Genomic DNA, 27962 nt, shown 5'->3' on the forward strand with positions numbered 1-27962 from the left:
GATCTTTTTTTAAATCTTACAACCTCTAAAAAAGCTGGCCCCTTCTTTCAGTTTCCCTATGTGTTTCATTATTTTGGTTATTTTATACTTAAAAAAATACTTAGGAACTATAAGTAGAAGGCAAAATAAATAAAACTCAAGTTAATTTATTCTGCAGAGCTATATGTAAGAAAGTGAAAAACGTGCTTTCCTTCCTCCGTTCTTCTCTGTCCTTTCACGTGCCTACATGTATTTGCTTCCCGGTAAGTTTTTGGGACCCAGGTCTTCTGAGTCTAGATCTGTTGTTCATGCTCATGGACCATATCGGTAGAAATCAAGGGCCTTCCCTGCTGCATCCAGTCATCAGACAAGCCAGTTTTTCCAGTATCTCTTTACCCTTTTTACCCAATGAACTTAAGTATTTGGAATGGTTTACCCTTGTGTATATTACAGGTATCAGATTTAAGAGATTAAAAACTCTGCTTAGTTTTTTATTTTCCTTATAGCTCAAATCTAATCCAAGTGAAAATGAAGAAAAGGAAGCACAGTCTCAACTTATAAAATCTGATGAAATGCAGCGTTTGCGTTCACAAGCACTTAACGCTTTTGGAAGTGGAGATTATACTGCTGCTATAGCCTTCCTTGATAAGATTTTAGAGGTAAGTTTCTTAGATACTGCAGTTGACCAGCCTGACACTTATTGTAAGGCACATTTATATACTTCGACATGTCACATACCACAAAGACCTAGACAGGAGAAAATCAGGTTGGTCCTTGGGCTTTTGCCTCTTAAGTATAAAATAGTGTTCCTAGACAACAAAATTTGGACTGAAGTTTTCAGTAAATGTACTGAATGTGCTGTGGCATGAGAGTTAAATATGTTTATAAATTGCTTGCTTTGCTATTTTAGTTGATTTTGTATTTTTTTGGGAAGAAAACTCTAGCGGTTAGATAATGGGATAAAAGATGAAAAAGATGGTTGGAGTAAAAGGAAAAATGATGTTCGGGAGGAAAGAGGAATGTTTAGAGAAAAATTTCTAGAGAATAAGGCAGATAAAGAGTTGATAGTATGTGCCTGTAGTCCTAGTTACTTGGGAGCTGAGGCTGGAGGATCACTTGAGCCCAAGAATTTGTCGCTGCAGTGAGCTGTGATTGCTCCACTGTACCCCAGCCTGGGCGACAGAATGGGACCCTGCCTCTAAAAATATTAATAATTGGCTGGGTGTGGTGGCTCATGCCTGTAATCCCAGCACTTTGGGAGGTCGAGGTGGGTGGATCACTTGAGGCCAGGAGTTTGAGACTAGCCTGGCCAACATGGCAAAATCCTGTGTCTAAAAAAAAAAAAAAGAAAATTAGCTGGGTGTGGTGTGCATGCTTGTGATCCCAGCTACTCGGGAGGCTGAGGCGCTCGAACCTGAGAAGCAGAGGTTGCAGTGAGCCACTACACTGTAGCCTGGGCCACAGAGTGAGACTCCGTCTCAAAAAAAAAAAAAAAAGTTAATAATAATAATGGTTGATAGGATCCAGAGAGTTCTAGCTAGGGAAACCTGAGTCTAGGTTTCCTTGCCTCTGAAGGATTTAATGACAACTGATTTCCGAAGGAAGTCTACTGAAATATTCAAATGGAAGCAGTCGTAATTCACATTTATTTGTGATTTTCACAGTATTTTGATATACAGTTTCATTTAATTTTGGCTCTAAACTTATGATGTATGTAGAATGGGCAATTTGTTGATAATTTTACAGAAGATATTGTGATATGGTCCAGTAGAATTCATGTTTTACTGGGTTATTTTGTTTATGCTTTTTTAAGGAAATATAGTTTACATTTTTACATTCCCATAGACTATCCATTTTGAACTTAGTTCATTGTCCATGATATTTATGTATAATGTTGGTTTTGATATTTTTGTATATGTGAAAAGTCGATACGACTTTAGAGCAGCTCTAAGAAATATGCAAAGATACTTCCACCAGCCTTATTGATGAGCTCTTGGGTTTATGATTTGAAGAATACTATTGTGTTTCCTAAACCCTTATGGACTTTTTGATAAAATAGGAATGGTGAAGCCTCAACCTCCTGCCCTCTCACGGTATTTTTTCTTTCTTTCTTTCTTTTTCTTGATATGAGGATTTACTTTTAAGGCGGTGACATTTACAGAAGATAATTTCTTAAAAAAGGTTTTTGTTTAGAGACTGGGTCTCTCTCTGTTACCTAGACTGGAGTGCAGTGGTGCGATTGTAGCTCACTGTAACCTTGAACTCCTGGACTCAAGTGATCCTCCCATCTCAGCCTCCTGAGTAGCTGGGACCACTGGTGTGTTCCACCACACCCAGTTAATAATTTTAAACTTTTTATAGAGATGAGATCTTGCTTTGCTGCCTAAGCTGGTCTGGAATTACAGGCATGAGTCAATGTGCCCAGCTAAGAACATAATGTGGTTATTAGCAGAAAAAAGTATTTTGCCAATGTAGAACCTAGGTTTTATTTTTTTGACTACAAATTAGAATTGTTGATTAAGTATAAAAATCTGATAACAGAATATTCTCTTCAAATATGCTTCACTAGGAACAACCCTCCAATAGTAAATGCTATGTTTTCTTATTTTCAGTGTCTTAGAATTATATAATCGAAGGAGGTAAGAAAAGGGCCTTGTTATTATATATATCTCTTCCCCCATTAGAATTCATTTACAACATTTTTGGAGAAACTATTTTGTCACATCAGTTTTGTCACATTTAAATTGTATCAGATTTTAAAATAATATTTGCACTATATAAGTCATCACATCAATTGAGAATGTTTTATGTTGATAAATACGTAGATAAAAAATACGTGGAATGCAACAATGAATGTGCATAATTTATTCTTTCTTAAAGTCTAGTTCTTTTGTTCCTCAAGGTTTGTGTTTGGGATGCAGAACTACGGGAACTTCGAGCTGAATGTTTTATAAAAGAAGGAGAACCTAGGAAAGCTATAAGTGACTTAAAAGCTGCGTCAAAGTTGAAGAATGATAATACTGAAGCGTTTTATAAAATAAGCACACTGTACTACCAACTAGGAGACCACGAACTGTCCCTCAGGTCAGTTCTAGTGACACACATGTCTGATCTTTTTTAATTGTTGGCAGTAAGATTACCTCATCTTGTTTTAACATTTTAATATTAAATTAATAAGATGATGGTAGTTAAGGCTGTTTTTATATTGTATATCCATTTATATATTTTGTGTTATTCCCAAGTTACTTTAATTCCACATAGTTTGTTTTCATGAAGCTGCTTATTAAACAGGAAGGCTCTTATATTTATAGAAACAAAATGGAATGTTTACTATATAATGCTAGTAAGTCATTTTAATTTGAATTAACAAATGTATGCATGGTACAATGCCACGTATAAATGTATATAGTAAATTATAAGTCTCAGTATGGTTTTTGTTTAATCGTTGCAAACAAAAAATACTTTTATTGTGATTTCTGTGGAAAACTACTCATTGATTGTTTTGACATGGAGTATTTTCCTTTTTTAAATACATGAACAGTGAAGTTCGGGAATGTCTTAAACTTGACCAGGATCATAAAAGGTGTTTTGCACACTATAAACAAGTAAAGAAACTTAATAAGCTGATTGAGTCAGCTGAAGAGCTCATCAGAGATGGCAGGTGAGAATATGGTTGTTCCAACTGTCCAGCCATTCCTTATGTGCGGGGCTGTGGGCACAAGTGAACTACAGAACTGCTCTTTTACTTCTCAGCCATTGAGGGTGGGGTATTCTAGATAGCCCTGGGCCTTAGCAAAACTACCAGAATTGGACATTTTTGGAATAGGGAAGAATATAAATAATAGTAACTGTGTAGTATCCTTACCAGCAGAATTACTTGTACTATACCAAATATTTATTATCTCCTATATCAGGCTGAGCTATGTACTGAGGGTGCAGACTTAAACTTGACAATAGTTTTTGTTCTTAAGAAGTTTATAGCATTGCGTGGGAGACAAATATATGAATTGATTATTAAAAGACAATATGATACCAAAGTGATAGAATGTACATAGGATAATTGGAGTACCAAAGAGGAGTATTTACTCCAAACCAGGATGGTAAAGGCAAGGAGTAAAAGAGGAGCTTTTTTTTTTAGAGAAGGTGATAGATATTTAAATCCTAATCCTAAAGAATAAGTAAAAGTGGACAGAAGTAAGAGGCTGTGTCTGTGTGAGTGTTGTTTGTAGGGGGTTTATAGGCTGGGCAGGAGGACTGAAAAGAGTAGAGGGCACTGCAGACAAAACTGCCTAATAGAAAATAGGCTCCAATTCCTCTACTTTTAGTAGCTTTGTAAGTTGCCATCATGAGAATGCTTCACTCGGTTTCCCCCAACATCTTGCAGACTATAACGCCTTGCAAAACTATAGTACATTGTCACAATCAGGATATTGACGTGGGTGCAGTCAAGATACAGAATAATTCCATCCCAACAAGGACACCTCATGTTGCCCTTATAGCCACACCTACTTCCCTCTTGTTCCTATCCCTTCCTTAGCTTGTGGCAACCACTAATCTATTCACTTGTAGAATTCTGTCATTTTAAGAATGTTACATAAATAGAATCATACAATGTATAAACTTTTGGGATTGGCTTTTTTTTTTTTTGAGACAATCTCACTATGTTGCCCACCTGTTCACAGATACAGTCATAGTACACTCAAGTGATCCTTCTGCCTCAGCCTTCTGAGTAGCTGGGACTTCAGATGCATGCTACCACAGCTGGCAGGATGGGCTTTTTTCCCCCTCATTCGAATTGTCTGGAGATTTATCCATATTGTATCAATAATTCCTCCTTGTTTACTGTTGAGTAGTTTCCATGGTATGGATTTACTGCAGTTTGTTTAACCATTTATCCATTGAAGGACCTGAGGTTGGGAGTTTGAGACCAGCCTGACCAACACGGAGAAACCCTGTCTCTACTAAAAATACAAAATTAGCCGGGCGTGGTGGCGCATGCCTGTAATCCCAGCTACTGCGGAGGCTGAGGTGGGAGAATCGCTTGAACCCGGGAAGTTGAGGTTGCGGTGAGCCGAGATTGTGCCATTACACTCCAGCCTGGGCAACAAGAGCGAAACTCCGTCTCTAAAAAAAATGTTTTCTGTTTGCAAGTCTGTCCTTTTCAGGTCCTCTGGCTAGACAGAGCAGACTTCTGCAGGTTTTTGTTATTGTCGTTCTGTACCTGTTGGCGTTTCTGCATTGCTGGAATCTTCAGCTCCAAGTCTGGGATATATGAAACAAAAAAAAAGAACCCAGGGAACGTCTTACCATGTTTTCCTCAGGTCCTGAGTCACTAGCTAGTCTGTCTCTTTTCCTCCTTTGAAAGTTTTCTATTTTAAAAAATATACATATAATCTCTAGGGTTTTTTAGTTGTGCTTAGCTGGAGCACTTGGGACAAATACATCTATTCCACTTTCCCAGAAGCTGGCTTTTTTGTTTTCTTCTTTAAGTTCCAGGATGTATGTGCAGAATGTGGAGGTTTGTTACATAGGTAAACGTGTGCCATGGTGGTTTGCTGCACCTATCAACCCATTACTTAGGTATTAAGCCCCACATGCATTAGCTATTTGTCCTGATGCTCTCCCTCCCCTTGCTGCCTGCCCCACACAGGCCTCCGTGTGTGATGTTCCCCTCCCTGTGTCCATGTGTTCTCATTGTTCAGCTCCCACTTATGAGTGAGAATATGCAGTGCTTTGTTTTCTGTTCCTGCGTTAGTTTGCTGAGGATGATAGAGAAGCTGGCTTTTATTTTAAATGTTTTAGTTAAGCCTGTGTTTTAATACATTGGCATATTTACATATGAAGATTGTAGCACTTTGGGAATAGTGTGCCACCATGGCATAGAAACATATTTTTTACTTTACTATTGTTGAGGGAAATAACTGAGTATATAACAGGATTAGTACTTTTTACTGGTTTAAAGAAAATGCTGAAATAGCTTTTATTCTTAGAAAGCTTATACAGTTGGGAATTTAATCAGGTACCTTTTGTGTGAACTACGTTGTACTTTGTTGTAAATACTGACATTAATTATATAAAATGGCACGTAATGGGTTCCATTATTTTCATGGAAGTGTTTACTGACCAAGAAATAAAACTTGATCTCTGTATTGTTCAAGGTGCTCAGTGTAAGTCAGACTTCAACAGGGTGTTTTACTCAGGTTTGGAATTCTGAGCAATGTTTCTGTAAGGAAATTCTTCTGGTTTGATTGGTACTTATACTCACAGGTATGCTTTGTTCTGTCCATCTGCATCTCCTATGGTCATATGTTTTTATTTCCTAACTCTTAATTATGGAGTGTACCTTCTATGGGACTCTAGATTAATAAGGGAAAAGCCGAATCTGAAGCCATGGGCTCATCCAATTGGATTGATTAAGCAACACATGGTGAAGAGGGGAGGAGCCTTTCTACAGCTCTGGAAATCAAATGTCATCATTTCTTATCATGATTTGCTCATTTCTTAGATACACAGATGCTACCAGCAAATATGAATCTGTCATGAAAACAGAGCCAAGCATTGCTGAATATACAGTTCGTTCAAAGGAGAGGATTTGCCACTGCTTTTCTAAGGTAACAGTTGACTTGTTCCCAGAAATGTGAAAACTCAACATGTGGAATACCAACCATAAATCCTTGTCTCACATTTCCTTTTAGGACGAGAAGCCTGTTGAAGCTATTAGGGTTTGTTCTGAAGTTTTACAGATGGAACCTGACAATGTGAATGCCCTGAAAGATCGAGCAGAGGCCTATTTGATAGAGGAAATGTATGATGAAGGTAAATCTTTAAGGATTTGATTTGCAGTACCGAAGTGTTGATTAGGAAATTATCACATTTTAAGCTTCCTTTTCCTTAAAACAAATTTACCAGAGTACCTGGAAATGTTGACAATTTTAGAAAAATGGCAGAGAACTTGAAAATTACTCTTCCATAGTGGAACCTGAAAGGTATACCATGTGAGGAAAGAGTTCTGCCATTGAAACCAGTTCAGTACAATAGAAAAATAAATATTTTAGCTTTTTTTGTAGAAAGGAAAAAAAATAACAAAATAGAAAATTTAAATTGTAGCTCTCATGTTATCCGGAAGTAATCACTGTTCATTTTGCATTTATCTTTTCCAGCTTTTATCTATGCACATATATTACTCTATATTTTATGCACATATACATATTCTCTCTCTCTCTCTCTCTCTCTCTCTCTATATATATATATATATATACTCGGTGTGTATAAAACATAAATACAGAAAGCATACATACATGTCATATATCCCTAATATAAAATGATCCTCTGTGACCCCAAGCTGTTTAGTAACATAGGACAGCTGCTACCCTATTTTGTTCAAGCCAAATGAAATAACAAGAGATTCCTGCCAGATGTTGTGAGGTCCTTGGATAAAAGCAGTGTCCTGTTTTTGGAAGATAACTACGGCGTATACAGTAATATACAGTTTTTGAAAAATAGAATCCATATATATATATATATATATATATATATATATATATATACACACACACACATATATATATACATATATATATACACATATATATATATACATATATAATACATGTATATATATACATATATATATATAGTTTTGTGCCTTTTTTCATGTGACACTATGTTATGAACATTTAAATGATACAGGTTTTTAAAAAAATAAATGAGCCTTATAAGCCCTTATTGCAAATATTTTGTTTCAAATTCAGGTAAAGCATTTTAAATCAAAAACAGTAATTTTCTCTTACAGTTAAATGAAGGGTTCGAATGGTAAAATTTGGTTTGTGATACTCTTTTTAAGGCAAAACTGGTCAATCTCTTTTTCCCTGCTTTCCTCAATTAGAAAAGAATCTTGCTCCTAAGCAAGTTCCCAGTTTCCAGGGAATGATGACAACCTGGTCACTACTATTTGTGGGACATCTTGTGGGGGATTCAGACCTTGAGGTCTCTGAATGAGGCTTGAAATGAATGCAGTCAAAATGACACTTTAATATTTATAAGCATGCTTCAATAAGGCATGTAGTCCACATAGAAAATCCCTTTAGCATACTCGTTTTCTTTCCTTTTGAGCTACCGTGTCTACTCGGTGAGATGGTTTTACTCTAGGATTTGCATTCCAGTTAGCTTTTGGAACTCTTTATCAAAGATACTTTTGTCATCTGTATGTAAACCCTTAGCTCTCACTGCGAAATTAGAGAAGCTACAGAAGAATATAAAGAGCTTAGCTGTTAAAAAAAAAAAAAAAGGCTAAATCTTGTAGAATGCTAAGTGTAATTTGAAAGATGCATTTGGAACTTGAATGTTAAACTGACTTGCTTTTTGGGGAAACCTGATGGCTTAATTCTGGAAGAAAAAGATGCTTAGTGCTAATTTAATATAATTGATCTGTTTTTTTTTTTTTTTTTTTTTGGAAATGGAGTCTTGGTCTGTTACCCAGGCTGGAGTGCAGTGGCACAATCTTGGCTCACTGCAACCTCCACCTCCCAATTGCAACCAATTCTTCTGCCTCAGCCTCCTGAGTAGCTGGGATTACAGGTGTGCACCACCACGCCTGGCTCATTTTTGTACTTCTAGTAGTGATGGGGTTTCACCATGTTGGCCAGGCTGGTCCTGAACTCCTGACCTCAGGTGATCTGCCTGCCTTGGCCTCCCAAAGTGCTAGGATCAATTGGCCCTGCCCAATTGATATGTCTTTGAAGTCTGTTGTTTCCTGGAAAAAATTCTTTTCTATAGGAATTTATTAAAGAGAGAGAGAGAATAGTTGCCAGCTGTCTACATTTGCAAAAGAAAGAAAGAAAGGAAAAGAGCCTGTATAACTGAAACTGATAGGTATTACCTGACTTGTTTGGACTGGAATCAGAGGTTTAGTATAAATGATGTAAATAAATAATAATCTTACTTAGCTAAATAACAGTATGTCTTCAGTTGAAATCTTGAGTTAGAAATATGCTTTCCATATTCTTCTGCTTCCTGGTTTTACCTTTCTTAGATAAGCAATTTAAAGTGATGGCAGGTACATAATAAAGAATGAATAGGTTTAGGTTAGTGAATAATGGAACATGGACATTTATTAATTTGGGGCTTATGATAGAATTATCAGGAAACAGGGGATTCCACTCAATAGAAAGCAAGTAAAGTAAGACTGTTATTTGAGGATGCCTCTGAGATCTTGAAAAATCAAGGGAAACTCTTCAGATCGCTACATGTCTCTGTTTTAATAGCTTTTGAGAGGAAAAAACTGACATTGAAGCAGTACTAAAATATTGGCAAAGTTTCTTTGAATATAGGGGTAACTCAGGTGTCCTTATGAAATGATCAGTTATATTTGCTAGAACTTAAGCTGTGTGAGGGCAGAGACCTGTGGCTGTTATATTAACTGATGCAGTCCTGGTGCTTGTGCTGGCACTCATCTTTGCTGAATGAATGAAGGTAATTTATTTATTATACAAAAGTCATAGTGGAGAGTATGGAATTTAGAATTAGTCCTGCCTTTGAGTCTGGCTTTGTGCAGTTATTCTATTTTTTTTTTTTTTGAGATGGAGTCTTGCTCTATAGCCCAGGCTGGAGTGCAGTGGCATGATCTCGGTTCACTGCAACTTCCGCCTTCCGGGTCCCGGTTCAAGCAATTCTCCTGCCTCAGCCTCCTGAGTAGCTGGGATTACAGGAACTGTGCCACCATGCCTGGCTAATTTTTGTGTTTTTAATAGAGACAGGGTTTCACCATGTTGGCCAGGCTGGTCTTGAACTCCTGACCTCGTGATCTGCCTGCCTTGGCCTCCCAAAGTGCTGGTATTACAGGCATGAGCCACCACGCCTGGCCAGTTATTCCATTTTTTATTTTTAATTGTGGTAAAAGATACAGTATAAAATTTACCATCTTAACCATTTTTACATGTATAATTTAGTAGAGTTAAATATGCTCACATTGCTGTGAAAAAGATCTTCAGAACTTTTTCATCGTGCAAATCTGATCTCTGTATCCCTTAAACAGCCGCTCCTTTTTACCTCTCCCTCGGCCCCTGGGAACCACCATTCTACTTTCTGTCACTATGAATTTGACTATGCTAGATCCTCACATAATGGGAATCATATACTGTTTGTCTTATTGTGCTTGGCATGTTTCACTTAGCATAGTATCCTCCAGGTTCATCCATGTTGTAGCATGTGACAGGATTTCTTTTTCTTTTAAGGCTGAATAGTATTCCATTGTATGGATATCCCACATTTTGTTTATTAATTCATCCACTGATGAACGTTTGTGTTGTTTCTGCCTTTTGGCTATTGGAGTAGTGTAGCCATGGATATGGGTGTGCAAATATCTCTGAGATCCCGCTTTCAATTCTTTTGGATATCTACCTAGAAGTGGGATTGCAAAATCATTATGCTAGTTCTTTTTTAATTTTTTGAGGAACCTCCACACTGGTTTTTGTCATGGTTACACCATTTTACAATTTTACCAGCAGTGTATTAAAGATTCTGATTCTTCCACATCCTCGTCAACAGTTTTTTGGGTTTTTTTTTTTTTTTTGAGACAGAGTCTTGCTCTGTCGCCCAGGCTGAAGTGCAGTGGTGCAATATGGGCTCACTGCAACCTCCATCTCCTGGGTTCAGCTGATTCTCCTGCCTCAGCCTCCTTAGTAGCTGGGATTGCATGTGTGCACCACCACACCTGGCTTTTTTTTTTCTTTTTTTTTTCCGTATTTTTAGTAGAGATAGGGTTTCACCATGTTGGCCAGGCTGGTCTTGAACTCCTGACCTCATGCGATCCACCCGCCTCAGCCTCCCAAAGTGATGGGATTACAGGCGTGAGCTACACTGCTCAGCTGGTCAACATTTTAGATTTTCTGTTTTTTCAATAGTAGCCATCTTAATGGGCTTGAGGTGGTACCTGGTTTTGGTTTTGATTTATATTTCCCTAATGATTAGTGATGTTGAGCATCTTTTCATATGCCATTTGTATATTTTCTTTGGAGTATGCCATTTATTTTTTGCTATATGGTTTCAATCAAGTCATTTAATTTACTTTTTACTCTACTTATCTGTAAAATAGGAATAAGAATAGTACTTATCTCCTAGAATTGTGGTGGCTATTAAATAAGATGATGCTCAGAAAATGCTCAGCAACATCTAAATCCGTGGTTTCCACTGTACTCATTTTCAGGTTGTTTGGAACTTGCATTGACTTTTCTGTATAAACAATATTGTGTGGGATATCTAGCTAGCTTCTTGGACTAACCTGTGACTGCTGCATGAACTCCATTTGACACAGCTGTTATTGAAGTGTTACTAGTAATATCAATAATTCTGTGAATAGGGCCAAGTAGATTGCTTTCTCTGGATGAAGGCTGGCCTGGGCAAAATTGTGAAAGAGGTAAAGTTTATCTTTTGATTCCCTAGGGTGTTATCCTGTTTGCAGATTCTTGTGCCCTCTTGCTTATCCTGGGACTCCACCCTGTTATACTACCTAGGCCCACCCTATCCCGCAGAAGTATTCTGTGTTCAAAATTTATACCGGCCAGGCACGGTGGCTCATGCCTGTAATCCCAGCACTTTGGGAGGCCGAGGTGGGTGGATCACCTGAGGTCAGGAGTTCGAGACCAGCCTGGTCAACATGGTGAAACCCTGTCTCTACTAAAAATGCAAAAATTAGCCAGGCATGGTGGTATGCATCTGTAATCCCAGCTACTCCGGAGGCTGAGGCAGGAGAATCACTTGAACTCAGGAAGCAGAACTTGCAGTGAGCCGAGATCACGCCATTGCATTCCAGCCTGGGCAACATGAGCAAAACTCAGTCTCCAAAAAATTATCTATATCTATATCTATATCTATATCTATATCTATATCTATATCTAATCTATATCTATATCTATATATCCCACCTCTGCATCAGCAGTCTCAGCCACCAACACAGCTGCGTTTTAGTAAGAGTGGTCAAATTTAAGATATTTGTTGAAAACACTGATTGGTTTCTATTCCTTATGAGATAAACATTTTTAACCCAAAGGAGTCTGAATAGTGGAACTTCAGGCAAGTGCTTGTGCCATCAGGTCAGGCAGCCTATGAGGGAGGTACTGGGGCAACAGGCCTGCCTCCTGGGCATGAAAGAGACCATTCCCTCTAGCAGATCAGATTTCTCATGGCTGATGCTTTTTTTCAAGGTTGTTAACCAGGGGTTCCTGGCTTCTGTTTATGTGGAGGACAAGGGGTAGAGATTGGTCTTTGTTGGAAGATGCTGATTGTATTTAAGATCCTAACTAAATGTGACTTTATAAGTTGGAGGCTGCTTATATATTGCCATTCTTTATACAACATCATAATAACCATGGACACATGTAATCAGAATCTATAAAGCAGATGCTTCTGAAACTTCCACCTCTTGAAATAAGTGCATCTACCTTAGCTCAGCTAATTAGTTGGAAGCAGGTGGTTAGAATAAATGGCTAGTCCTTTGCAAAGACAGTCAGTGGGATATGGCATGTAGATTGATGAAGTTCTTTGGCTGTACATTTCCTGAACTGTAAAGTCATGCTTGCAGTTTTTATTCACACTCGGGCCTCTCAGCCACAGCTGCAGACTTCTCATTTCTTTTGAAAAGTGTGTGGTTACAAGGAAAACTACATAGCTACCTGCTGGTTTGGGATTAGCACATTTGCTGACCATATCAGCTGGGTAAAACATTGTACTCCCTCTGGTGCCAACTCTGTGAACCCATGAGCGTAATATGTAGGTGAGGAAGTAGGAAACAGTTACAATAGTCAAGCAGTATTATTCAGAAAAAGATACAAGGCAGATTTCCAAATTATGAAAAGCTTAAAGTGTTGGAAGTAAAAAGTGCTAAGGAAAAAGGATCAAGAAGGTCACTGCAGGTGCATAGCTGGGACAGACGCTTAGAAAGCTGTGGAGGGGTCCTTTGCCTCTCCCAGCAGTGACAAGACACATTTGATTTAGTGCAGAGGGTAGGTTTGAATAGAGAAAGACAGTCATAGATACATGTTCATTTTGGCTTTTTGTTAATTGACAAGACTGTAATTTCCTATGACTAATGAGTGTGATCTCAAGTAATGAAGAGGCTTCTTTAAGAAAGGAAAAAAAAAAACAAGATTTTTCATCATCTTAAATAGAAACAGACTAAGTATATGAACGAAGGCCTATATTTGTATCTGCCTACTCTAGTGCTTTGAATAGAGTTGGTGATATTTCTTAAGTGTTGATAAAGTACAGCACAATATTTAAAATCTCATAATTCAACAGAACTGCAATTATTTTCTTTGTATTTTACTGTTAGCACTTTTATCTCTTTTCCCCTATAAAAATGTTAACAGTGCCTCATATGTAATAGATGCTAAAAATAAAGTCAACAAAACAGATGTATAGAGCATGTTAGCGTATCAGATTCAGTTAGTGTGCAGGACAAATTACGTCCCCTGTATATAGAATTAAACATACTATCTCTCTTCATTGTTTAAATCGGCCTAAAATATAATGGCTAGACTTGCCCTCAGATTTGATGTTAGAATGTGATCTAGTGTAGGAAGTAGTTACCTCAGTGGGAGAAGCTGACTTTAAATTGTTCAGCCCTCTTTACTGAGCTCACAGCTCTCGTACACTTCTGGGCTCATAACGAGGCTGTATCCTAAGTGTTCTTAGATATAAGATCTTTCCCTTTGTTGTCTTAAGGATGAATATGCATAAAACGTAGTAGTAGGAAATTTTTTATTTTCATTGTTTATATTATGACAGTCTCACAGCAGGTAAACCCTCCCCCCAACATTTTATTATGAGAAATTTCAAATAAAGAGAAAAGTTGAAAGAATTTCACAATGAACACCCAAGTCCTCACCATACAGATACTGAAGTTAACAGTTTACTATGCCTTATCACATTTATCTGTCTCTAGCCCTCCATTTATCCATCAGTTCATCTTTTTATGATGCATTTAAAAAAAGGTATTTGGTTTACTTTTCCCCCAGATACTTCAACTTGTATATCATTAACTTGAATTTGTTTACTGTCTTACATTTTTTCTTTCTTTAGGGATAATTTTAGATACGGTAAAATGCACAAGTCTTAGGGATACCATTCCTAAGGTCTGATACCCATGCGACATGTTAAAGCAAGAAATCATTAATGACTCTTGTTAAAGACAGTAAGTCAGACTTTATTCAAGGGGGACTATGGTGACAGGTAGAGGGGCCACTGCAGTGGGGTCTTGTACTGGGGAGAGAGATTGGGTTTGACTCTGACTCCAGCAAGGACAAATGGGGATTTATAACCAAGGAGCAGAGTTGGGGGTCAGTGGGTGGGATTCTTGCTAGTTAAGGTCAACAGACTATGTGTTGAAGGCAGGCCAGGGTCATATGGAGAGTGGAGGGTGAGGAGTGTGACAGATATTGGTGGGGAGGGGTTTCCCTAAACTGATTTAGCAGGATTCTTGCTCAAGCTGGATTCCACAGGAACAGAGAGGGAAGCCTAGGGTCTGGATCTAGTCAGAAAGAAGACTCAGAGGAGCTGACCAAATTTCTGGTCAAAGGAGACAATCTTTGTTTAACCCAACTCCTGTCAAGATATAGAACATTTTATTATCCTCTTGTCTCTTACCAATCAGTTCCCATCCCACCCCCCCACAGGCAACTCTGTTCTGATTTTCTCCATCATGGATTAGCTTGGCCAATTCTAGATCTTCATATAAATACAGCCATGTATAGTATGTTCTCTCTTGTATAAAGCTTCATTCCTTCAGCATGTTTTTGAGATTTATTTATGTTATTACATGTTTTCGCAGTTTATTCCTTTTTATTGATGAAGAGAAGTTGGCAGACTTTTCCTATAAAGAGCCAAATAGTAAATAGAGACCCTGCGCACCATGTGGTCTCTGTTGCAACTACTCAGCTCTGCCATTGCAGTGCAAATGTGACCATAGATAATACGCAAATGAATAGGCATGGCTGTGTTCCAATAAAACTTTATTTTGAAAAACAGGTGGTGGGCTGGTAGCACTGTTATCACTTTTCCACTATAAAAAAGCAGAAAAGCATTCAGTGTTTCGCCAATAATCCTATCCTTGATGAAGGATATTTCATTTCATGCATATATCACACTTTATCTACTGTCATATTACCAGACACTTCAGCTGACTTTTTTAGTTATTAAAAAGAGCTGCTATGAACATTATTCTAACGGGCTTTTTTTTAGACATATGTTTTTGTTTATCTGCAAGCAGAATTGCTGTCATAGTGTACGGTGCTTGCTCAGTTTTAAAAGAAACTGCCAGACTCTTTCTAAGGTAATATATAATTTATACAGCTACAATAAAGTATGAGAGTTCTAGTTGCTCTGCATCCTTGCAAACATTTTGTGTTCTCATTCTTTTTAGTTTTATCCATTTTGGTGTGTGTTAGTATCTATTGTGGTTTTAATGTTTGTTTCCTTGATGACTAAGGTTGTTGAATACTTTTCATGTGTTGTTTCTGTGTTTAAATATCTTACTTTGTGAAGTAAGCATTCTGCACATGCTTACCCACTTAAAAATATTTGCTGTTTCTTTTTGTTACAGAGTTGAACTTATTTATATATTTATGTTTTCCCCTTTATTCCATTAATGTGGTAAATTAAACTGACATTTCTAAAGTTAAATCAACCTTTAATTATTGGGATAAACTCTTCTTGGACAGGAATTTAGATATTGCTGGATTTGATTTGCTAACATTTTAAGAAGTGTGCACCTATGTTCATGAGGGATAATTGCTCTGTAACTTTTTTTGGTAATGTCTTTGTCAGAGTTCAGTGTTAAGGATGTACTGGACTCAAACAGTTCAAAATTGTCCCTCCTCTATTTTCTGAAAGAGTCATATAAGATTGGTGTCATCTCTTCTTTAAAGTTTGAGAGAATTCACCAGTAAAACCATCTTGGTCTTGGAAGTTGGTTTTTGATTTTTTTTTTTTTTTTTGGTAGGATGGTTTTTGACAAATTTAGTTTTTTTTTTTTTTTTCATTTTGTTTTTGCTTTTTTTGAGACAAGGTCTTGCTGTGTCACCCAGGCTGGAATGTAGTGGCACAATTATGACTCACTGCAGCCTCGACCTCCCAGGCTAAGTGATCCTCCTACCTCAGCCTCCCAAGTAGCTGGGACTACAGGTGCATGCCACCACACCTGGCTAGTTTTTGTATTTTTTGTAGAGATGATGTTTTGCCATGCTGCCCAGGCTAGTCTCAAACTCCTGGGATCAAGTGATCTGCCCACCTAGGCCTCCCAAAGTGCTGGGACTACAGGCGTTAAGTCACTGCACCTGGCCTTATTTAGTTTTATTCAGTATAAGGCTATTAATATTTTCTGTTTCATCTGTGTTAGTTTTTGTAAGTTACATCTTTTAAGGAATGTTTCTATTTCTTGACATTGCTGAATTTGTTGGCATGAAGTTCATAATATTATCTTATTATTTAATGTCTATAAGGTCTGTAAGATTATTCCTGCTTTGTTTCTAATATTAATAATTTGTATTTTCTTTTTTTCCTGTTGATCATTGTAGACAAAGTTTGGTCAATTTTGTTGGTCTTTTTTTTTTTTTTTTTTTTTTTTGAGACAGAATCTTGCTCTGTCGCCAGGCTGGAGTACAGTGGAGCGATCTTAGCTCACTGCAACCTCTACCTCCTGGGTTCAAGTGATTCCACTGCCTCAGCCTCCTGAGTAGCTGGGACTACAGGTGTGCACCACCACACCCAGCTAATATTTTGTATTTTAGTAGAGACGGGGTTTCACCATGTTGGCCAGGATGGTCTCGATCTCCTGACCTCGTGATCCACCCGCCTTGGCCTCCCAAAGTGCTGGGATTACAGGCGTGAGCCACGGTGCCTGGCCTTGTTGGTCTTTTTAAGGAACCAACTTCGGGATTTGTTAATGGTTTCTATGGCTTTTCTTTATTACTTTATTGATTTCTGCTCTTTAGTTCCTTAGACTTACTTTGGTTGTACCTTGTGCTTTTGCTAGAACAGTCATTGATTTTAGGCCTTTCTTTCTTTTTAAATATAAGCATTTAAAGTTGCACCTTTCACATTTTGTTTTACTTTCATTATAACTTGGCTTGAAGTGTATTCTAATTTCCCTTCTGACTTCTTTGATGCATGGATTATGTATAGGTGTTCTAATTTTCAAATAGTTGATGGTTTCTTAGGTACTTTATTATTTATTTTGAATTTAATTCCATTGTGGTCAGAGAACATACTAGGTGTGATTTCCTTCCTTTTAAATTTATTTAGGCTTGTTTTGTGGTCCAGCATGGTATCTACCTTGATGAATATTCTATGTACACTTGAAAATAAGGTGTATTCTGCAATTGTTGGGTGTAATATTTGTTAGTTTTTCCATCAGGTATAAGGTGAGAGTTGTTAAGATCTTTGATAATCTGTTGTGGAAATTGTGAACTTTCCTGTCTGTCTTTAATATTGTCAATATTTCCTTCAAGCATTTGGAAGCTCTGCTATTAGCAGCCTACATATTTATGACTGTCAAGTGTTCTCCTGATGAATTTTTACTTTTATTCTTACTCAGTGTTCCTGTTGATCACTGGCAATACTCTTTTTCTTGAAGTTTTATATGATATTAATAGAATCACCTCTGCCTTCTTGATCTTATTGTTTGCATGGTGTGTCTGTCTTCATTCATTTACTTTGAGTGTCTTTGTGCCTTTATAAGTATGTCTCTTATAGACATCATGTAGTTGGAACTTGCTTTGTTTCTGTCAATTTTTATAATTATAATCTGTGTTTGAAGTGTTTACTTGATCAATATTACTGTGATTATTGATATGGTTGTATGTAGGTCTGCCATTTTACTATTGTTTTCTTTTTGTCCTTTTGTTTTTGAATTTTTTGTTCCTCTCTTTCTGTTGTCATTTAGATTATTTGAATATTTCTAGTATCCCCTCTGGGGTGCAGTGGTTATTCACAGGTGTGATTATATTGCATTGTAGTCTTAAACCCCTGGCCTCAAGCAGTCCTCCTGCCTCAGCCTCCCAAGTAGCTGGGACTGTAGGTGCATGTCCTGCACTTGACTGTAACGACGTTTTAAATAAATTTCTAATATTAGTTTAATAGTTTCTAATTATTAGTTACCACTATAATTGAAATTAAAATATGTCTTCCTCTAGCTCTTGATTTATCAATTTTAGGCAGTATCCCTTGTCTGCCTGCTACAGAAGAGGAAGAACTGAGTAGACCTCACTAGTTCCTTTTGTTCTTTCTCACCTTCAGTTTTAGTTGAGTATTTGATCTTTTGCTTATATTTACAGCTTTAATGTAATATAAATAAGTTTTAATATACCCAAGTTTCTTTCTTACCCTGTCACCTTTAGATAGCATCTCGATTGTATACTACTGATAATAAGGAAATTAGTATATTTCCATCTTACCTTTCAGCTACATTTTAAGTATGTGTTAGTATACTTTTATAATGTTTGTAGTATGTAGATTATTTCCTGTAACTATAATTGTGTATAGTAAGGAAATGAAAGCCATTTAGTAGATTAATGTATTGTATAGCTGCAGGATCAAGTCATGTGTTTGAATCCTTAGAGAAGGAGATGCAATCATTTCACCAACCAGGGTCAGATACATGGAGTCTCTTGTTCACAGATGGCCACACTTTTAGTATGCTTCTCATTTGGAGCAGGATTTTTTGGAAAGCGTCACCCCGAGTTAGAGTTACTGTCTCTCTGCCAGAAGAAACCTATGCCTCTGTCTTACTAAGAACATCTTGAGATTTTTAATGACAGTTTGTATGAATGAGATCCGCTCTCTGTGAAGATACTCTTTTTATATATATATATATACTTTTTTTTTCTTTTCACTCTGAAGATATTCTTTAGCCCTATAACTCCTGGCTGTGCCTGGCCTGCTGCACATCTTTTGCCCCAGAACTCCTTTCACTGCCTTTCTGGGTTTTTCTGTCTTCTTTTTAAAAATTTAATATAATGTCTTCATCTTTCTTGGATTCTTTTTTTATTTTGCTTAAAGTGCATCCTCAAAAAGTGATATGAATGCGTCTGATGCTGGAAGGGAGTATTGCAGCTTCTCAGAAATTCAGAGGAAAAATGAATTTTAACACAGACTTTTATGTATAGTAAACTATTAATTAGGGTAAGGATTCAGTGCAATTGTTTAGAAGTTTTCTTTTTTCAGTGTTCTGGAGACACTGGAATCACCTGTGGTGTAAAAGTTTGGAACAATCTCTGGAAAGACTGCTGCTTTACTGGGAGGTGGCTTAGTGACAGCTTTCTCTGTGAAAATGTTTTGTGTGGGCTTTCCTTTTTGAGCCAATGAAATTCTTTTAAATAGGTTAGTTTAGCACATTTGCATTGATCGATATGACAGATGTTTGGTCAACATTCTATCATTCTGTTTTGCTGAAATCTTTTTGCGATTTGGCCTGTATTTTGTATACGCTCCTGATATTTAGGAAAGTTTGTATTTTTGTACTTTTAAAAATAGTTTTATTAACACTATTTTGGCAACATCCATTAGTTTCCTACTGTGAGGGAAAATTTAGTGTACTTCCTCCTCTTCCTCACTGTTCTTCCACCTCTTAATAATTTGTTGAGGAAATTTTTTAGGATTTGCCTTTGTAATATTACTCAATTTATCAGTGGCTGATGTTTTCTGATTGCTTCAGCTGATGTAGGTGGGAATGAATGAACTTACTCCCTCATCATCCTTCCCCTTTCTTTTCCCATGTTTCGTCAGCTGTATCCCTTCTGCACCATCAGGGCACACGCTCTGCTCTGTCGCTGTTAGTCCCCTGCTTTGTGTTAGTCTTGGTTCTACGTGAAATTCAGTGTCTACTGGTTTTCCTTTGGCCATGGTTTCTTCAGCCATCACTTGGTGAGTTCATCTTATAGTAGTTTCCTCAGGGAGGTCCTAAGAGAATTTTCCCTGCTTTCTTCTATGTTCAATACAGATTGTACTTGTACCTTTTATATCTGAATGATAGCGTGGCTGGATAATAAAGTCCTTCCCTCACCCCTGTGCCATGTATCTCGTAGTTATTGTTCTGTTCTTTTCTGGGACTAATGTTATGGAAAACCTGGGGCCAGGTTTTTTGTTTTTGGCCTGGCCGTCCAAAGAGCCCTTATCTTCAAGTCTGAATTATGCTAGGATATGTCTTCTTGTTGCCCATTCTCAGCCAGGCTGCCCTGGCACCCAGTGCACCTTTTCAGTCTAGATCCATCTTTCACTTCAGGAACATTTTCTTAATCTGTTTTGGTCTCTTCTATTTGTTTCTTTTTCAGCTTAGTTTTCTGCATACAGGTTATACATGAATTGTATTTCCTTTGCCTTGTCATCATTAGCTATAATTTTTTCTCAGCCTTTTAAAAAAGTATTTTATATAATTTAGTTAAGTCAAAATTCACAAGAGACAAAGTAGGACATTAAATTATAATAAAAAGGTTCATTCATTGAGAATCTATGAATATATCTGACATCAGTTTTCCCAAACACATAAAGCAAATATTGACAGAATTGAAGCAAAAAATAGACAGCAATATAATAATGGTAGGATACTTCAGTATCCCACTTTCAGTAATGAATAATAAAGCAAGATAGAATATTAAGAAGGGAACAAAAAACTTGAATGCACTATAAAACAATTACACCTAACAAATGTATTCAGACAGCAGAGTACACATTCTTTTCAATAGCTCATGAAACATTTTCCTAGATAGACCACGTGTGACACCACAAGTCTTAACAAATTTTTTTAAATTGAAATTTTATAGACTATGATTTATGGCCCAAATGGAATAAAACTAGAAGTCAGTAACAGAAGGAAAATTGAAAAATTCACAAAATATGAAAATTAAACATGCTCTTGAGCATGCTTTTGCTCAAGGGTTGGAAGACATAATATTGTGAAGATGGCCATGCTGCCCAGAGTGAGCCACACATGCAGCACACCTTTCAATTCCCAATTTTACTTTTCTGAAAATAGAAAAAAACCCACAAAATTACATGAAACCTCAAGGGACCATGAAAAGTCTGACAATCTTAAAAGATGAAAAATATTGGAGACATTACACTTAATAATGTCCAAACACCAAACAAAGCTACGGTAACCAAAGCCCTTTGGTACTGGTATAAAGGCTGAACACCAAAGCAGTGAAGCAGAATGCAGCACAGACAGCAACTCTGGCAACATGCTCAGGTGAGTTATTTGCACGCCATTTATTGAAGCATTATCCACAAAAGCCAATAGGCGAAAGCAATTTAAACTTCCCTTACCAAATGAATGGATACATATAAATTGGAATACAAAAAAAATGGAATATTACTCAGCTTTTAAAAAGCAGGAGGTTTTCTAATATCTACCATAAGACAAATTTTGAAGACATTTTGCTAAATTTAATAACCCAGCCACACACAGAAAAATACTGTATGAATCTACTTACATGGAATATCTAAAGTAGTTAACACCCTTAAAAAGAGAAAATAGAATGATGTTTGTACAGTAAAAACATTGAATTGAAAAACACCAAAATGTGTGCCCTTTATGAATGTGCAGTCATAGTTGAGAATTGTAGCTATTTAGAATTATTTTTTAGTAATACACTGTGTTTATTCAGTATTTTTTTGTGAAATTTTGTTCTGCCAATTTATATTCCTGTGTCATGTTTTATGGTAGGTTATGTCACATTGTGTTTTTAGTTTTTATTTATGTATTATAATTTTGTATGCCAATATTTGACTCTGTAAACATTAAGACAGTGTTTGGACAGAAGTCAGATATGAATCAGCCATACATCTAGAGCCAATATAATTATTTCTGTGTTTGTTTGCCTGTATAAATATTACCCCTATTTTATGATTTGTATATTTCCTTTTTTTGGTTGTTTTATTTTTAATTGTAAAAAATACATAACGGAATTTATAATCTTTGATATTTTCTTCTTTCTTTTTTTTTTTTTTTTTTTTTTTGAGACGGAGTCTCACTCTGTCGCCCAGGCTGGAGTGCAGTGGCATGATTTCAGCTCAATGCAAGCTCCGCCTCCCGGGTTCACCCATTCTCCTGCCTCAGCCTCCTGAGTAGCTGGGACTACAGGCGCCCGCCACCATACCCGGCTAATTTTTTCTATTTTTTAGTAGAGACGGGGTTTCACCGTGTTAGCCAGGATGGTCTCGATCTCCTGACCTCGTGATCTGCCCACTGCGGCCTCCCAAAGTGCTGGGATTACAGGCATGAGCCATCGCGCCCGGCCTAATATTTTCAATTATATAGTTAAGAATATTGACATTGTTAGCAACATAGCTCTAGAACATTTTTATTTTTGTGAAAGTAATATGCAATACACATGAATCTCAGGCTTTTAAAACTCTCTATTTCCATTTCCTTTTGTTAGATCCTTCATTTTTATCTTCTCCCTTGTCCTCTTTCTTGTTTTGTCTTCATGTCTATGATAGTTTTGATTTGTTCTTATTTTTCTTGAGTCCTGATTGCTCACATTTTTACCTCCTCGTCATCTGGTCTCTTTCCTGAGTTCTGATTCTGCCTTGTGATTACTCTTAATGGAAGTGATTGGATTAAGTTACATAATTTGTCTATGATGCTTGCCCAGAATTTCCTCTGGTTTTGTTTTTCTGATGGCTATTCAGAAAATAGTATGCTTTGGCTATGTTTTTCTGATGAACATTCATTAGATAAGTTTTACATGTTCTTTTCCTGATTTTTAAAATATCTTTGAAGTGATATTGTGCCAGTTAAAAAAAAATTATTACTCATCATAAAATGAGTTGGAGTTCACTGCCCTAGCTATTTGTGGGGCTAGTCCTCTGGATGTCAGTTTTGTTTTTTTGTTTTCTGCATGTAAGGCGTGCTGGGGCCAGGGCAGCCTTCTGTAGTTAACAGTCGCAGTACTCTCTGCTTCACTGTTTCCACAGACATTCTGCTTCCCGCTAAAATGATTTTGCTGTATAGCCCTGCCCTCTCTACTTCTCTGCACCAAACCATGGCCAGGAGGTCATCTGCCACCAGCCCCACTTGCCCCTGTACCCCATTCCTTTGCTACACCAAAGGGGTGTGTGTTTTGCACTTCAGGATGAGCATAGAGTTGCTGTTCTCTGGGATCTGCCGCACAGGCTGTTTCACTGTTCCCTCTCACTGTATTCTCTTCTTTACCTCTGTCTTGCCCCAGTAAGCCCTCTGCTTTATCTCCACTATGTGTGCTCTAGATTTCCTGGTTCCTGCAATATGCAAGGGATACAGGTTGTCACTTCAGGGTAAGCGCATACTCATAGAAGGTGTATTTTGTCAGCATTTTCTGTGATCTTTTACCATTTGGCTTTCTCACTATTTGCTTCCCCCTTCGTCTTAGGTTCATGGCTGATATTAGCACCTGTCAGCAGCCCTTGTACAGTTTCTTTGTATTGTTTTGCTGAAAATGGAATTTGGAGCTGCACCCTGTCTGTTTACCTTGTTTCTTTTGTGTGATATGTTTCTTTTGTGTGATAGGCAGCAGGAGAATGTTGGTGTTCCATGGGACATGTTTATATTGGAGGTCTGATATACTATATTCTTTCAAAGGATTTCTTTGCATTGAGAGTAGACTTTTAGGGGAATAGGGTGGAAGCTGGGAACACCTGTTAGGAAACTGTTTTAATGATTCAGGTGAATGGTGGCCCGCGTCACAGTGCTAACTATGGAAATGCTGAGAAGTGGTTAAACTGTGGCTATATTGTGAAGGAAAGCTGATTTGGAACTTGCTAATGAATTGGTAGGGTGAGAGAGGGAGTCGCTTGTAGCTGTGTGCACCTGTCTTTCAAATGCTGGTCTGTGCTGGGGAGCTCAGGGCAGGCTGTAAGTAAATAGGACCTGTTCACTGGAGAACGTCCCCAGTGGCACTTGCCCAGCTGCCCCAGTGAGCCCTGCTTCACTCATTTTACTGATCGGGGGTCAGTAAAATGATCTATTTAACTTTGGTCTGGGTGGGACCGCTTTTTGTTTGTTCCAGGTTTGTTGTAGAGGTTTGCGTGTCCTACAGGGGCCCTCCACAGGCACACCTTTCACTCTGCTTATAGTAGGGATTAATGCTGCAGCCAGTGGCTCCATATACAGGGGCCAGAGCCTGCCCAGCCATCCCATAGTCATCTCACGGACTATCCTGACAGTTGCCTTATAGCTACTTCAGCTTGCCAAAGTGAGGGTCCTCGGCCAAAGATAATGGCTTCCAGATCTGCTAGGGCCTCTTATAGTGTGTGCTTGCATTGTGGTTCTCTCTACTTAGGTTTATTACTAATGTGCTCCTGCTTCCTATCTTCCAGAAATTTATCAAAGTTGCTGGTCTGCTGTTGTCTTCAGTGCTACTATGATTATATTACTTTTCGTCACTTCGGTGGCAAGGAGGGTAGGCAAACGTGTGTGCTTACGTCTCCCATCCTAAGCTGGTGATTTGCATTGCTCCTCAAGAATGTGAAGGGAATATAGAAGAAAAGTAATTTGGGATAAGATTTTTTAGATTCAGAAGTTAGAAAATGAATTGGCTAATACGCAACATGGTATTCTTTATCTAGGGCTGATATATGTCTGGCTTATTCTATTTTTCATAGCTGTTCAGTAATGGTGGGATAAACATTGGATGTGTGTGTGTGTTTTTTTTTTTTTACTTTAAGTTCTGGGATACATGTGCAGAATGTACAGGTTTGTTACATAGGTATACACATGCTATGGTGATTTGCTGCACCCATCAACCCATCATCTACATTAGGTATTTCTCCTAATGCTATCCCTCCCCCAGCCCCCTACCTCCCCACGGGCCCTGGTGTGTGATGTTCCCCTCCCTGTGTCCACATGTTCCCATTGTTCAGTTCCCACTTATGAGTGAGAACATGCAGTGTTTGGTTTTCTGTTCCTGTGTTAGTTTGCTGAGAACAATGGTTTCCAGCTTCATCCATGTTCCTGTGAAGGACTTGAACTCACCTTTTTTATGGCTGCATAGTATTCCATGGTGTATATGTGGCACATTTTCTTTATCCAGTCTATCATTGATAGACATTTGGGTTGGTTCCAAGTCTTTGCTATTGTGAACAGTGCTGCAATAAACATACCTGTGCATGTGTCTTTATAGTAGAATGATTTATAATCCTTTGGGTATGTACCCAGTAATGGGATTGCTGGGTCAAATGGTATTTCTGGTTGTAGATCCTTGAGGAATCACCACACTGTCTTCTACAATGGTTGAACTAATTTACTCTCCCACCAACAGTGTAAAAGCCTTCCTATTTCTCTACATCCTCTCCAGCATCTGTTGTTTCCTGACTGTTTAATGATCGCCATTCTAACTGGTGTCAGATAGTACCTCATTGTGGTTTTGATTTGCATTTCTCTAATGACCAGTGATGATGAGCTTTTTTTCATATGTCTGTTGGCTGCATACATGTCTTCTTTTGAGAAGTGTCTGTTCATATCCTTCGCCCACTTTTTGATAGGGTTGTTTTCTTGTAAATTTGTTTAAGTTCCCTGTGGATTCTGGATGTTAGCCCTTTGTCAGATGGATAGATCGCAAAAATTTTCTCCCATTCATGGCAACAAAATTCTCCCGTGTAGGTTGCCTGTTCACTCTGATGATAGTTTCTTTTGCTGTGGAGAAGCTCTTTAGTTTAATTAGATCCCATTTGTCAATTTTGGCGTTTGTTGCCATTGCTTTTGATGTTTCATGAAGTCTTTGCCCATGCCTGTGTCCTGAATGGTATTGCCTAGGTTTTCTTCTAGGGTTTTTATGGTTTTATGTCTTACGTTTAAGTCTTTAGTCCACCTCGAGTTAATTTTTGTATAAGGTGTAAGGAAGGGGTCCAGTTTCAGTTTTCCACATATGGCTAGCCAGTTTTCCAACACCATTTATTAAATAGGGAATCCTTTCCCCATTGCTTGTTTTTTGTCTATTGGGTGTTTTGTTTTGTTTTGTTTTTTTAGATGCTCTCTTAGAGTGTGGAGTCTGAGAAAGTATAACTTAAAATGGTCTGTCTAGTTATATCTGTGGGAAGTCTTACATCATCCATACTTAGGTTTCTAATTAGTTTTCTGCAATTGTGTGAATATAGGAAACAACCTATAATTTTACATTTTTGTCTTATGTTGGGAAAAATGTGTTCACCTTAAATTTTAATACAAATACGATACAAAAGACTGCTTTGGGGAGATAACTCTGAAATGTAAGAATGAAAACATGTTTTAAATATAGAGTCTGCACAAGTAGCAAAATCATGTATATTGAAACATCTTCCTATTGTATTCCTTCAAGGTCTGTTTCCTTACTAAGCTATGTGTTGTGTTATGGGTGTTCATTGTAAAGTTAAACCTTACTACTGTTTATGATGGTTTTGTTTTTATACTAAACTGGGAGAAGTTTTTTATGTCCCTGTGGGTTGGGCTATAGTAACATTTAATGTAATGATGCACTGATGCGAGAATTCACTTTAGGATAAAAGATTGAAGGGTCCCCTTCCCCAGTGCCACAGGGCCAAAGGTGGTGGTGGTTCGTTTCTGTACGTAGTGTGTAGCCTGTCAAAATCTGTTAGTCTTGTTGTAGGACTCTTTCCTTAGTTCAGCTAAAGACAGGGGGTCCTTGTCACACGGCCACGAAAAATGAGGCTCACAGACAATTTGAAGAGGGCAGGACTTATTGGGTGAAAAGGAAAAGAGGGAAACAGGACTCTCTACAAGGCCAGAGTCCCAGCTAGTGTGCTTCCCACCTTGCAGATTGAATCCCAGGTTCCATCCAGGAAGAGGAGGGAGGGGCCAGGCTTCTTCCCGAGGCTCCACCCCAGTGCACACTCCTCCCAGCGTGCAGGCCAGTTGGAGTTTTTCTGGGAACCCCTTTGCATTTGGCTGTCTCAGTCTTAGGCCAATATCTTTCTCATTTTAATCTGTCCAAGGTGCCTTACATTCCCTCCATGTTTAGCTGTTGCGAAGATGAGTGTTCACATGTCTTTTATCCTAGTGAAATGCATTTTCATAAAAACAAGAATTTTATCCCAGCAATCTATTATTGGAATTATCTATGCAGGGAGAATATTGAGAAAAATTTGAGTGGGGGCTTCCCTAGACTATCCCCAGATTTGGTGATCTGGTAAGAAGACACACAGGACTCAGCATATAGTTGTACTCAGGGCTTTCATTCCAGTGAAAAAGCAAAGTCAGCACAGGGAAAAGGTGCAAGGGTGAAAATCTGGAGGAAACCAGGCAGAAGATTCCAGGACTTCTCTCCCTGTGACGTCATAAAGAACAAGCTTAATTTTTCCAGTAATGAGAAATTCTACAATGTGTGAAATGTTGTCTACCAGGGAAGCTCGTTATAGACACTGCACCCAGAGTTTTTTTGGGGAACTAGTCACTAGACACGTTCTGTCTGGCCTGCACCAAAATCCCAGACTCCCAGAAGGAAAGATGTTTACCATAAACTGTATTTTTCATACAAACAGTTCAGGCATGAGTCATTCTTACCATGGAATGTTGGGAACACTCCTGAAATCTGGCTTCCCAAACGTCAGCAGTAAGCCAACCTTGTCAGCAAACTTTTCTAAGGATAGTTGTCTCAGGACTGCTGTGTTGACTCTCTTCTGCATATTAGATACCCAGATGCCTTGTATTTTCTAAGTATTTAAAATACTGCTGGGCGTGGTGGTGCGTGCCTGTAGTCCCAGCTACTTCATGGGCCTGAGGCAGGAGGATGGCTTGTGCCTGGGAGGTCGAGGATGCAGTCAGCCAAAGTGACAGAGACCCTGTCTCTTAAAATTTTTAAAAAAAAATACTGTGTAATAAAATAAAAGATGTAATGTGGATAGTCAGCAGACTTCCTATACTGGGACTATATGTATTTTGTATTTTGATTGACACTTAGGTTTGTAATAGTGTTAAAGCCTGTGGGTTACTGAGTCATTCGGATTGTGGACAGTTCCTTCTG

The 27962-nt window shown here is 38.0% G+C and overlaps 1 protein-coding gene across 2 annotated transcripts in view; it reads left to right on the forward strand.

The window, feature by feature from the left end:
- DNAJC3 (DnaJ heat shock protein family (Hsp40) member C3) overlaps nt 1-27962 on the forward strand; it is a 117850-nt gene that overhangs the window by 80020 nt on the left and 9868 nt on the right. For both annotated transcript variants that reach the window (XM_011521104.3, NM_006260.5), the window contains 5 exons: nt 486-638; nt 2882-3063; nt 3521-3640; nt 6485-6590; nt 6675-6795. In XM_011521104.3, the coding sequence (XP_011519406.1) occupies nt 486-638; nt 2882-3063; nt 3521-3640; nt 6485-6590; nt 6675-6795 (682 nt within the window). The remainder of the gene's footprint in view (nt 1-485; nt 639-2881; nt 3064-3520; nt 3641-6484; nt 6591-6674; nt 6796-27962) is intronic.

The sequence above is a fragment of the Homo sapiens genome, chromosome 13 (genome assembly GCF_000001405.40).
Source record: "Homo sapiens chromosome 13, GRCh38.p14 Primary Assembly".
In the NCBI taxonomy this organism is placed as follows: Eukaryota; Metazoa; Chordata; class Mammalia; order Primates; family Hominidae; genus Homo; species Homo sapiens.